Raw genomic sequence first — 12,538 nt, forward strand, 5'->3', positions numbered from 1 at the left:
ATATATTTCCTTTTCCACCATAGGCCACAAAGGACCCCAAATATCCAATGGCAGTAACTACAAAAAGAGAGATTCAAAACTGCTCAATCAAAAGATAGGTTCAACTTTGTGAGTTGAATGCACACATCACAAAGAAGTTTCTAGGAATTTCTATATGTAGTTTTTATGTGGAGATATTTCCTTTTCCACAATAGGCCTAAAAGCTCTCCAAATATCCACTTACAGATTCTTCAAAAAGAGAGATTCAAAACTGGTCAATCAAAAGATAGGTTCATCCTTGTGTAAGTTGACTGCACACGTGGCAAAGAAATTTCTCAGAATGCTTCTGTGTAGTTTTTATGTGAAGATATTTGCTTTTCCATGGTATGTCTCAAAGTGCTCCAAATATCCACTTGCAGATTCTGCAAAAATGGAGATTCAAAACTGCTCAATCAAAAGATAGTTTCCACTCTGTGGGTTGAATGCACACATAACAAAGAAGTTTCTCAAAATGCTTCTGTGTAGTTTTTATGGGAAGATATTTCCTTTTCCAAAATAAGCCCCAAAGCCCTCCAAATATCCACTTCCAGTTCTACAAAAAGAGTGTTTCTGAACTGCTCAATCGAAAGAAAGGTTGCACTCTGTGTGATGAATTCACTCACCGCAAAGAATTCTGTGAGAATGCTTCTGTGTAGTTTTTATATGAAGATATTTCCTTTTCCACAATAGGCCTCAAATTGCTCCAAATATCCACTAGCAGATTGTACAAAAAGAGTGTTTCAAAACTGCTCAATGAAAAGAAAGATTCAACACTGTGAAATAAATGCACACACCACAAAGAAGTTTCTCAGAATGCTTCTGTGTAGTTTTTATGTGAAGATATTTGCTTTTCCACAGTAGGCCTCAAAGGGCTCCAAATATTCACGTGCAGATTCTACAAAAAGAGAGATTTCAAAACTGCTCAATCAACAGACAGGTTTGACTCTGTGAGTTGAATGCACACATCACAAAGAAGTTTCTCAGAATGCTTCCGTGTAGTATTTGTGTGAAGATATTTGATTTTCCACAGTAGACCTCAAAGCTCTCTAAACATCCCCTTGCAGATTCTGCAAAAAGAGAGATTCAAAACTGCTCAATCAAAAGATAGGTTCAACACTGTGAGTTGAAGACACACATAACAAAGAAGTTTCTCAGAAGATTTCTGTGTAGTTTTTATTTGAAGATATCTTTTTTTCCAAAATTGACCTCCAAGCCCTCCAAATATCCACTTCCAGATTCTACAAAAATAATGTTTAAAAACTGCTCAATCAAAAGAAGAGTTCAATCCTGTGAGAGGAATGCGCACATCAAAAAGGAATTTCTCAGAATGCTTTTGTGTAGTTTTTATGTGAGGATATTTCCTTTTCCACAACAGGCCACAAAGGGCTCCAAATATCCACTTGCAGATTCTACTGAAAGAGTGCTTCTAAACTGCTCAATCAAAAGAAAGTTTCAACTCTCTGAGATGAATGCACACATCACAAATAAGTTTCTTAGAATGCTTCTGTGTAGATTTTATGTGAAGATATTTCCTTTTTCACCATAGGCCACAAAAGACTCCAAATATGCAATTGTAGATTCTACAAAAAGAGAGTTTCAAAACTGCTCAACCAAAAGATAGATTCAACTCTGTGACTTGAATGCACACATCACAAAGAAGCTTCTCAGAATGCTTCTGTGTAGTTTTTATGTGAAGATATTTGATTTTCCACAGTTGGCCTCAAAACCCTCCAAATATCCAGTAACAGATTCTGCAAAAACAGAGATTCGAAACTGCTCAATCAAAATATAGTTTCAACTCTGTGAGTTGAATGCACACATCACAAAGCAGTTTCTCAGAATGCTTCTGTGTAGTTTTTATGTGAAGCTATTTTATTTTCCACAGTAGGCCTCAAAGCACTCCTAATATCCACTTGCAGATTCTGCAAAAAGAGATTCAAAACAGCTCAATCAAAAGATAGTTTCAACTCTGTTAGTTGAATACACACCTCACAAAGAAGTTTCTCAAATTCTTCACTGTAGTTTTTATGTGAAGATATCTTTTTCTCCAATATAGTCCTCAAATCCCTCCAAATAGCCACTTCCAGATTCTACGAAAAGACTGTTTCAAAACTGCTCAATCCAAAGAAAGGTTCAACTCTGTGTGGTGAATGCACTCATCACAAAGAAGTTTCTCTGAACACTTCTGTGTAGTTTTTATTTGAAGATATTTACTTTTCCACCATAGGGTGAAAAGGGCTCCAAATACCCACTTGCAGATTCTACAAGAGAGATGCTAAACTGCTCATTGAAAAGATAGGTTCAACTCTGTGAGTTGAATGCGCACATCACAAATCAGTTTCTCAGAATGCTTCTGTGTAGTTTTTATGTGAAGATATTTCCTTTTCCACTGTAGGCCTCAAATAGCTCCAAAGATACACTTGCAGATCATACAAAAACAGTGTTTCAATACGGCTTAATCAAAAGAAATGTTCAACTCTGTGAAATGAATGCATACATCACAAAGAAGTTTCTCAGAATTTACTTTCAGAATTTTAGGTGAAGATGTTTGCTTTTCCACGTTAGGACTCAAAGCGCTCCAAACATCCACTGGCAGATTCTACAAAAAGAGTGTTTCAAAACTGCTCAATCATAAGATAGGTTCAACCCTGTGAGATGAATGCACACATCAAAGGGAGTTTCTCAGAATGCTTCTCTCAATCAAAAGATAGGTTCAACTCAGTGAGTTGAATGCACACATCACAAAGAAGTTTCTCAGAATGCTTTCGTGTAGTTTTTATGTGAAGATATTTGCTTTTCCACAATAGGCCTCAGATGTCTACAAATATCCACCCTCAGATCCTGCAAAAAGAGAGATTTAAAACTGCTTAATGAAAAGATGGGTTCGACTCTGTGAGTTGAATGCACACATCACAAAGAAGTTTCTCAGAATGCCTCTCTGTAGTTTTTATGTGAGGATATTTGATTTCCCAAGTAGGCCTCAAAGGGCTCCTAATACCCACTTGCAGATTCTGCAAAAAGAGAGATTCATAACGGCTCAATCAAAAGACAGGTTCAACTCTGAGTTGAATGCATACCTCTCAAAGAAGTTTCTAAGAATGCTTCTGTGTAGTTTTTATGTGAAGATATCTCCGTCTCCAAGATAGCAATCAAAGCCCTCCAAATATCCACTTCCAGATTCTATGAAAAGAATGTTTCAAAACTGCACAATCCAAAGAAAGTTTCAACTCTGTTTGAAGAATGCACTCATCCAAAGAAGTTTCTCTGAATGCTTCCGCATAGTTTTTATTTGAACATATTTCCTTTTCTACCATAAGGCGTGAAGGGCTCCAAATATCCACATGCAGATTCTCCAAAAAGAGAGATTCTAAACTGCTCAATCTACAGATAGGTTCAACTCTGTGAGTTGAATGCACACATCACAAAGAAGTTTCTGAGAATGCCTCTGTCTAGTTTTTATGTGAAGATATTTCCTTTTCCACCATAGGCTTCAAATCGCTTCACATATCCACTTGCAGATTCTACAAAAAGAGTGTTTCAAAACTGCTCAATCAAAAGAAAGGTTCAACTCGGTGAGATGAATGCACACATCACAAAGACGTTCCACAGAATCCTACTGTCTAGTTTTTATATGAAGAAATTTGCTTTTACCCCAGAGGCTACAAAGCAATCAAAATATCCACTTGCAGATTGTACAAAAAGAGTGTTTCAAAACTGCTCCATTAAAAGAAATGTTCAACTCTGTGAGCTGAATACACACATCACAAAGTAGTTTCTCAAAATGTTTCTGTCTAGTTTTTATATGAAGATATTACTTTTTCCACTGTGGGCCTCAAACCCCTCCAAATATCGATTTGCAGATACCACAAAAACACAGAGTCCAAATTGTGCAATCCAAAGAAAAAGGTACAACTCTGTGGGATAAATGGACACATCACAAAGCAGTTTCTTAGAATGCTTTTGTGTAGTTTTTATGTGAAGATATTTACTTTTCCCCATTAGGCCTCAAAGCGCTCCAAATATCCTCTTGGAGATTCTACTAAAAGAGTGTGTCAAAGCTGCTCAATCAAAAGTAATGTTGAATTCTGTAAGATGAATGAGCACATCACAAAAAAGTTTCTCAGAATGCTTCTGTGTGGTTCTTATGCGAAGATACTTCCTTCTCCACCATTGGCCTCAAAGCACTCCACATATCCTCTTGCAGATTCTACAAAAAGAGTGTTTGAAAACTGGTGAATGAAAAGAAAGTTTCAATTCTGTGAAATGAATGCACTCATCCAAAGAAGTTTCTCAGAATGCTTCTGTCTAGTTTTTATTTGAAGATACTTCCTTTTCCACCATCGGCCCCAAATCACTCCAAATATCCACTTACAGATTCTTCAAAAAGAGTTTTTCAAAACTGCTCAATCAAAAGAAAGGTTCATCTCTCTGAGATGAATGCACACATCACAAAGAAGTTTCTCAGAATGCTGCTGTATAGTTTTTATTTGAAGATGTTGCCTTTTCCACTAGTGGCCAAAAAGCTCTCCAAATATCCACTTGCAGATTCCACAAAAAGAGTGTTTCATAATTGCTCAATCAAAAGAAAGATTCAACTCTCTGAGTTGAATGCACACATCGCAAAGAAGTTTCTGGGAATGCTTCTGTCCAATTTTAGAGTGAAGATATTTCATTTTCCACAATAGGCCTCAAAGCACTCCAAATATCCACTTCCACATTCTACAAAAAGATTGTTTCAAAACTGCTCAATCAAAAGAAAGTTTCATCTCTGTGACATGAATGCATGCATCACAATGAAGTTTCTCATAATGCTTCCATGTAATTTTTATGGGCAGATATTTCCTTTTCAACCATAGGCCTCAAAGTTCTCCACATATCCAATTGCAGATTCTACAAAAAGAGTTTTTCAAAACTGCTCAATTAGAGGAAAGGTTCAAATCTGTGATATGAATGCACTGATCACAAAGAAGTTTGTCATAATGCTTCTGTGTAGTTTTATGTGAAGATATTTCCTTTTCCACAATAGGCCTCAGTGTGCTCCAAATATCCACTTGCTGATTATATAAAAAGAGTGTTTCAAAACTCCTCAATCAAAAGATAAGTTCAACTCTGTGACTTGAATGCACACATTACAAAGAAGTGTCTCACAATGCTTCTGTGTAGTTTTTATGTGAAGACATTTCCTTTTCCACAAGAAGCCTGAAAGCGCTCCAAATATCCACTTGAAGATCCTACAAAAAGAGTGTTTCAAAATGGTTCAATCAAAAGCAAGGTTCAACTCTGTGAGATGAATGCACACATCACAAAGAAGCTGCTCAGAATGCTTTTGTATAGTTTTTATGTGAAGATATTTCGCTTTCCACCATAGGTCTCAACGGGCTCCAAATATCAACTTGCAGATTCTACAAAAAGAGTGTTTCCAAACTGCTCAATCAAATGACAGTTTCAACACTGTGAGATGAATGCACACATCACAGAGAAGTTTCTCAGAATGGTTCTGTGTAGTTTTTATGTGAAAATATTTCCTTTTCCACAATAGGTCTCAAAGCACTCCAAATATCCACTTGCAGATTCTACAAAAAGAGTGTTTCAAAACTGCTCAATCAAAAGAAAGGTTTGACCCTGTGTGATGAATTTATTCATCACCAAGTAGTTTCTCAGAATGCTTCTGTGTAGTTTTTTTGTGAAGATATTTCCTTTTCCACAATAGGTCTCAAAGGGCTCCAAATATCCACTTGCAGATTGTACAAAAAGAGTGTTTCAAAAGGTCTCAATCAAAAGAAAGTTTCAAATCTCTGAGATAAATACACACATCACAAAGAAGTTTCTCAGAATGCTTCTGTGTAGTTTTATGTGAAGATATTTGCTTTTCCACAGTAGGCCTCTAAGCACTCCATATAACCACTTGCAGAGTCTACCAAAAGGGTGTTTCAAAACTGCTCAGTCATAAGATAGGTTCAACCCTGTGAGATGAATGCACACATCACAAAGAAGTTTCTCAGAATGCTTCTGTGCAGTTTTTATGTGAAGATATTTCCTTTTCCACAATAGGCCTCAGTGTGCTCCAAATATCCACTTGCAGATTCTATAAAAAGAGTGTTTCCAAACTGCTCAATCAAATGAAAGTTTCAACACTGTGAGATGAATGCACACATCACAGAGAAGTTTCTCAGAATGGTTCTGTGTAGTTTTTATGTGAAAATATTTCCTTTTCCACAATAGGCCTCAAAGCGCTCCAAATATCCACTTGTAGATTCTACAAAAAGAGTGTTTCAAAACTGCTCAATCAACAGAAAGGTTCAACTCTGTGTGATCAATTTATTCATCACCAAGTAGTTTCTCAAAATCCTTCTGTGTAGTTTTTAAGTGAAGATATTCCCTTTTCCACAATAGGCCTCAAAGGGCTCCAAATACCCACTTGCAGATTGTACAAAATGAGTGTTTCAAAAAGCCTCAATCAAAAGAAAATTTCAAATCTGTGAGATAAATACACACATCACAAAGAAGTTTCTCAGAATGCTTCTGTGTAGTTTTTATGTGAAAGTATTTCCTTTTCCACAACAGGCCTCAAAGTGCTCCAAATATCCACTTGAAGATTATACAAAAAGAGTGTTTCAAAACTGCTCAATCAAAAGAAAGTTACCACTCTGTGTGATGAATTTATTCATCACAAAGAAGTTTCTCAGAATCCTTCTGTGTAGTTTTTATGTGAAGTCATTGCCTTTTCCTCCATAGGCCTCAAAGGGCTCCAAATACCCACTTCCATATTCTACAAAAAGAGAGTATCAAAACTGCTCAATCAAAAGATAGGTTCAACTCTGTGAGTTGAATGCACACATCACAAAGAAGTTTCTCAGAATGCTTCTATATAGTTTTTATGTGAAGATATTTCCTTTTCCACAATAGGCCTCAAAATGCTCCTAATATCCTCTTGCAGATTCTACAAAAACAGTGTTGCAAAACTGCTCAATCAAAAGAAAGTTTCAACTCTGTGAGATGAATGCACACATCACAAAGAAGTTTCTCAGGATGATGGCTGAATAGGAACAGCTCCAGTGTACAGCTCCCAGCATGAGCGATGCAGAAGAGGGTTGATTTCTGCATTTCCCTGTGATGTACTGGGTTCATCTCACTAGGGAGTGCCAGACAGTGGGCTGAGAAGTCTCTGCACCCCTGAAAGAGTGACTGTGTTGACTGTTTCCTGAGCTCTGTCATGCCCCAGAAACTTCCAGTAATGCGTGGAAGACCAGCATCTTGTTGGTGCTCTCCTTTCCAGTTTTCAAACAGGCTATATTGGAGACTCCCCATTTTGCAGGAAACAGGAATTCTTCATCAAGATGTGATGCATGGGACGTTTCTTTTCTCTGTAGTTTCACTCTCCTTGTCTACATGAAAATAAACAGGATCCACACACCTACCTGTATGAGACTATTACGGCAACTGTGACACCCACGTGCTCACTAAGATTTGGCAGCCTGATCCTGGGACAATGGTACTGATGGTTATCCAGACACACCCCACCACAGTCACTAGCAAACCCACTCCCAAACACACAGACACACACGGGCACAAGCGTGGGAACACAAGCACACACACAGACACACAAAGACACAGACAGCTTGAAGGTGAACAAGGGACAGAGGGATGGAGAGATAGAAAAGGAAGGAGAGTGAGAAACAGTGATAGAGAGAGAGACAGAGAGGAATTGGGGAAATTGAGAGAGACAGAGAGCAAGCAAGCTGGAGTGGGAAGTAGAGAAATGGAGAGGGTGAAGGAGCTAGAGTGGGAGAGCAACAGACTTGGAGAGGGAGACTCTGCTCTGGTAGATAGGGGCCCCTTTGGCGAGGGTAGGGTGGAGGGTGCCTGGGCCGGGCTAGAACAGGGGGACAGGGCCACCCATGCAGGAAAACCAATGGAGCCCTGAGACGTCTTTTTACTTGGATTGGTTAGTTGCTTTGGGGGTGCGTTTTGTAGCGTCATTCCTTTGTTGGCTCCTCCCTGTCCTCTTGGTGCTGTGGGCCCTGAAAATTATGGAGTGCACCGGCCCTGTGGTGGAAGCAGTGGCTTCGAGCCTGCCCATGGGCCGCAGCTTGGGTCTCTCTCACTTTCTGGGTGGTATGGCCATAGACAATGGCAGTGGCATGTGGCTGGCCCAAAAGCACGGTCCAGCTATGTCCACCTGATTCCAGGCATCACCATCAACTCTGGGCTGTGAGGCTGGGATCAGGCACCCCAGAGCTGCTTGCCTGTGGCCGGGCTGCTCTCCCCCTCTACGCCCAAGCACCACTAGGCACCGCGCTGCACTTTCTGCCGACCTCCCACAGTGTCCCCCTGTCGCCGGTGGCTAGACCACATGTGGGACCGCAGAGGTGCCAGAGGCCTCCATCCCCTGCCAGGGCTCTGGACTCCCCAGGCGGCCACCCTCTCACTGACAGTCCAGGCCTTCCCCTGGCTCTTGAGCTCCTGAGCTTCCAATACCTGGGGCCCACTCAGGACAAGATGTGCTCCAAGGCATTAGGGCCCAGGGCCCAGGGTCCTGGGTTCCCCTCTGGCCCTCTGCCTTGCAGTGGAAAAATTGTTTTGGATCCCTCACTGCCCCTCCTGCAAGGCCCCCTCTTGTCTCACACACCCAGAACCACCAGGGCTGCCCGAGTCGAACAGCTGGCCCAGCCCTGCGGGCCCTTTTTCTCACAATGCCCACTCCATCGTCGCTTGTCCCAAGGAAGACCTGGCCCATGGCCAACAGAGCAGGAAGGCCCTACTTTGCCCCGCACTGGCATTAGAGCCCCGGCAGCTTGATCCCAGGAAAGAGGGGCTGACAGACACCCAGAAACACCCCACCACCACCAGGAGCAAACACATCCTCTCACACACAAACAGATACACAGGGGTGCATGCACGCAGGCACACACGCACACGGACACACATGGACACACACACAGACAAAGACACAGACAGCTTGAAGAGAGGGATGGAGAGATAGAAACAAAGGGAGAGATAGAGACAGAGAGGGTGGAGAGACAGGGAGAGAAGGTGACAGAAGAGCGAGAGGTGGAGGGGGAAGAAAAGAGGGTGAGGGAGCCAGAGAGCAAGAGCGATTGAGCCTTGGAGAGGGAGGCTCTTCCCCAGATATACAGGGCCCCTTTGAGCAGGCCAGGGTAGGGTGGAGGGTGCTTGGGCTGGGCCAAACAGGGGGGCAGGGCCGTCCAAGGGAGAGGACCAACTGAGCCCTGAGACGTTTATTCTTGGGTTGGTTGGTTACTTTGGGGATGTGTTCGGTAGGGTCCTTCCTTTGTTTGCTCCTATCTGTCTTCTTGATGCGGTAGGCTCTGAGATTTTCAGAGTGTGCCTGTCCATCTTTCGGGAGCCATAATGCCGAGCATGCTCACAGTGCACAAGACCTGGGTCTCTCTTGTGTCCTCGAGAATGGATTTCACACGAAGTTAGTGGCAGTGGAAATCCAAGTGCACAGGGATGGTTTTCCTGGTGGCTGATGAAGGCAATGTCCCTCCCCCGTGGAAAGCAGCCTATGCGTTGTGGAGCACGGAAAAGTGGAAGTAGAGTCAGGGGGTGGTTGGGAAGCATGGCGACAAAAGGGGGAAAGAGGGAGCGGGGAGCCAAAAGCCTACAGCACTCAGTATTCACAGGGGGTCTCGCATCCAAGTACTAAGCAGGCCCGACTCTGCTTAGCTTCCAAGATCAGTCAAGATCCCATGTGTTCAGGGTGGTATGGCCATAAAGGCCCACAGTGGCACCTGGCTGCCACAGGAGCCCAGCTCAGTCATGTCTGCTCCACTCCAGGCATCACCGCCACCTCGGGGCCAAGGGGCTCAGATCCAGGGCCCCAGAGCTGCTCGCTCGCAGCCGGGCTGCTCTCCCCATCAAGGCCCCAGCACCACTGGCCACCGTGCTGCGCCTTCTGCCGGCCTCCCAGAGCCACCTACCTCGCCTGCGGCCAGACCACGTGCAGGACCGCCATGGTGCTGCCCTGCTGCTGCACGGGAGAGCCAGAGGCCTCAGTCCCCTGCCCAGGTTCCAGGCACACCAGGTGGCCTCCCTTTTTGCAGATGCTCCAGGGGAGCTCCAGAGCTTCCAACACATCGGGCTGGCTCAGGACTGCACGTGCTCTGAGGCATCAGGGCCAAGGGCCCATGGTCCTGGGATCCCCTCCGGTCCTCCTCCTTGCAGCAGAAAAATTGTTTTGGATCCCTCTCCTCCCCTCCTGCAAGGCCCCCTCTTACCCCACACACCCAGAGCTGCCAGTGCTGCCCAGGGGCTAACAGCCGGCCCAGCCCCACGGGCCCTTTATCCCACAACGCCCACACCATTATCGCTTGTCCCGACGAGGACCTGACCTTGGCCAATGGGGAGGGAAGGCTCTGCTTTTCCCCGTGCTGGCACTAGAGCCCCAGCAGCCTGATCCCTAGAAAGAGGAGCTGACAGTCACCAAGACACACCCCACCACCACCACGAGCAAACCCACCCCAACACACACACACAGAGATACACACAGGTGCACGTGCACAGACACACACGGACACACACACCACACCTGGGCACACACACACGGACACACAAAGACACAGACACAGATAGCTTGAAGTAAGGGAGGAGACTACCCCTCATATTGTCTTATGCCCAATTTCTGCCTCCAAAGAAAGAAGAAGTAAAATCTAAAAGGCAGAAATGAAATCCACAGCCAGACAGCCCTGCGCCACACCCTGGGCCTGGTAGTTAAAGATCGACCCCTGACCTACTCTGTTATGTTATCTATAGATTACAGACATCGTATAGAAAAGCACTGTGAAAATCCCTGTCCTGTTTTGTTCTGATATAATTACCGGTGCATGCAGCCACCAGTCACATACCCTCTGCTTCCTCAATCCATCAGGACCTTCTCACGCGGACCCCCTTAGAGTTGTAAGCTCTTAAGAGGGACAGGAATTGCTCACTCAGAGAGCTCGGTTTTTGGAGATGTGAGAGTGCCGATGCTCCCAGCTGAATAAAGCCCTTCCTTCTACAACTCGGTGTCTGAAGGGTTTTGTCTGCGGCTCCTCCTGCTACAGGAGAGCAAGGGAGACAGGAATGGAGAAATAGAACCAGAGGGAGAGCGAGAGAGACAGCGATACAGAGACAGAGAAGGGGGGAGGAGAGAGAGGGGGAGGGAAAGAGAGCCCGACAGTAGAGCGCCAGGTGGAGGGGGAAGTAGAGAAAGGGAGAGGGTGAGGGAGTTGTAGAGGGAGAGGGACAGAGTCATGGAAAGGGAGTCTCTACTCAGGTAGACAGAGCACCTTTGAGCAGGCCGGGGTGGGGTGGAAGGTGCTTGGGCTGGGCTAGAACAGGGGGTCAGGGCCCCCCACGTGGGAAAACCAAAGGAGCCCTGAGACGTGTTTTCTTTTTTCCTTGGATTGGTTGGTTGCTTCAGGGGAGCGTTTCATAGGGTTCTTCCTTTGTTTGTTTCTTTCTATCTCCTTGGTGCAGTGGGCCCCGAGATTTGTAGAGTGTGCTCATCCCTCTGGCTGGAGCCGTGGCGCCAAGCATGTCCACGCAGTGAGGCCTGGGTCTCTCTCCTGTCCTCAGGACTGGAGTTTACACGAAGTCGGTGGCCTTGGGAAACCAGGTGCACAGACACGGATTTCCTCGTGGCTGGCGAAGACAATGTCCTTCCCCTGGGGAAAGCAGCCCACGGGTTCTGGAGCGGAGGTCTTGGCTGGGGTCTGTGGGACCCGCTGCCCCTGCCCGCCCCTTCCCCCGGCTTGGACGATTGCAGCGGCGCTAGATGAATGAATAGAATTTCCTGGGAGTCCAGGAAGCCTGAAGACACCTGCGACCTCAGGAACGCGCGCCTGCGCCCTCGGGGTCGGTCCCGTCCCGCCCGGGTTGTAGCCAGGCTCCTGGTGGGCTGCTGCGAGTCGGAAGAGGTGGGATGCTGCTGCCCGGCTGTGCTGCAGTCGCGGATCTTCAGGAGGAGGTCCCGGGCTTCAGCTGGGACGCGTGGGCTGTCAAGGGGGAGCAGAGGCAGGGCGGGGGCGGGGTTGTGAAGCACTGAGACTAGAGGGGGAAAGAGGGAGGGAGCGGGAAGCCAAAAGCCCAAGGTACCTGCTATTACCAGGCGGAATCCCATCCAAGTACTAACCAGGCCCGACTCTGCTTAGCTTCAACAGATCAGAGGCAAGCGGGTGCGTTCAGGGTGGTGTGGCCTAGACGCTAGCAGCGGCGCCTGGCTGCCCCAAGAGCCCGTCCCAGCCATGCCCGAACGACTCCAGGCGTCACCGCCATCCCGGGGCAGCGGGTCTCGGATCCGGGACCCCCAGAGCCGCTCGCCTCTGCCCCAGGGCAGCTGTCTCCCTCTACACCCGAGTACCGCCGGCCTCCTGGCGAGTCCCGCCGTCACCGGCGGCCAGACCTGGCGCAGGACCAACGTGGCGCCGCCGTGCTGTTGCTGGCGGGCGCCAGAGGCCTCAGTCCCCTGCCCAGGATTCCGGCTCTCGGGGCGGCCTCCTTTCCGCCCACGCTCCAG

General features: G+C 45.9%; 2 pseudogenes, besides 3 other annotated features; both read right to left on the bottom strand.

The window, feature by feature from the left end:
• Positions 2,541-3,042: an enhancer, noted in NCBI's record as "NANOG hESC enhancer chrY:9920919-9921420 (GRCh37/hg19 assembly coordinates)". NCBI's record gives its function as "activates a minimal SCP1, AML or CMV promoter by ChIP-STARR-seq in naive H9 embryonic stem cells {active_cell/tissue: H9 hESC(naive)}" and the evidence as "EXISTENCE:reporter gene assay evidence [ECO:0000049][PMID:30033119]".
• Positions 5,300-5,896: an enhancer, noted in NCBI's record as "OCT4-NANOG hESC enhancer chrY:9923678-9924274 (GRCh37/hg19 assembly coordinates)". NCBI's record gives its function as "activates a minimal SCP1, AML or CMV promoter by ChIP-STARR-seq in primed H9 embryonic stem cells {active_cell/tissue: H9 hESC(primed)}" and the evidence as "EXISTENCE:reporter gene assay evidence [ECO:0000049][PMID:30033119]".
• Positions 5,897-6,493: an enhancer, noted in NCBI's record as "OCT4-NANOG hESC enhancer chrY:9924275-9924871 (GRCh37/hg19 assembly coordinates)". NCBI's record gives its function as "activates a minimal SCP1, AML or CMV promoter by ChIP-STARR-seq in primed H9 embryonic stem cells {active_cell/tissue: H9 hESC(primed)}" and the evidence as "EXISTENCE:reporter gene assay evidence [ECO:0000049][PMID:30033119]".
• RNA5SP518 (RNA, 5S ribosomal pseudogene 518) lies at positions 9,641-9,759 on the bottom strand (annotated as a pseudogene).
• On the bottom strand, positions 12,106-12,224 carry RNA5SP519 (RNA, 5S ribosomal pseudogene 519; annotated as a pseudogene).

The sequence above is a fragment of the Homo sapiens genome, chromosome Y (assembly GCF_000001405.40).
Source record: "Homo sapiens chromosome Y, GRCh38.p14 Primary Assembly".
In the NCBI taxonomy this organism is placed as follows: domain Eukaryota; kingdom Metazoa; phylum Chordata; class Mammalia; order Primates; family Hominidae; genus Homo; species Homo sapiens.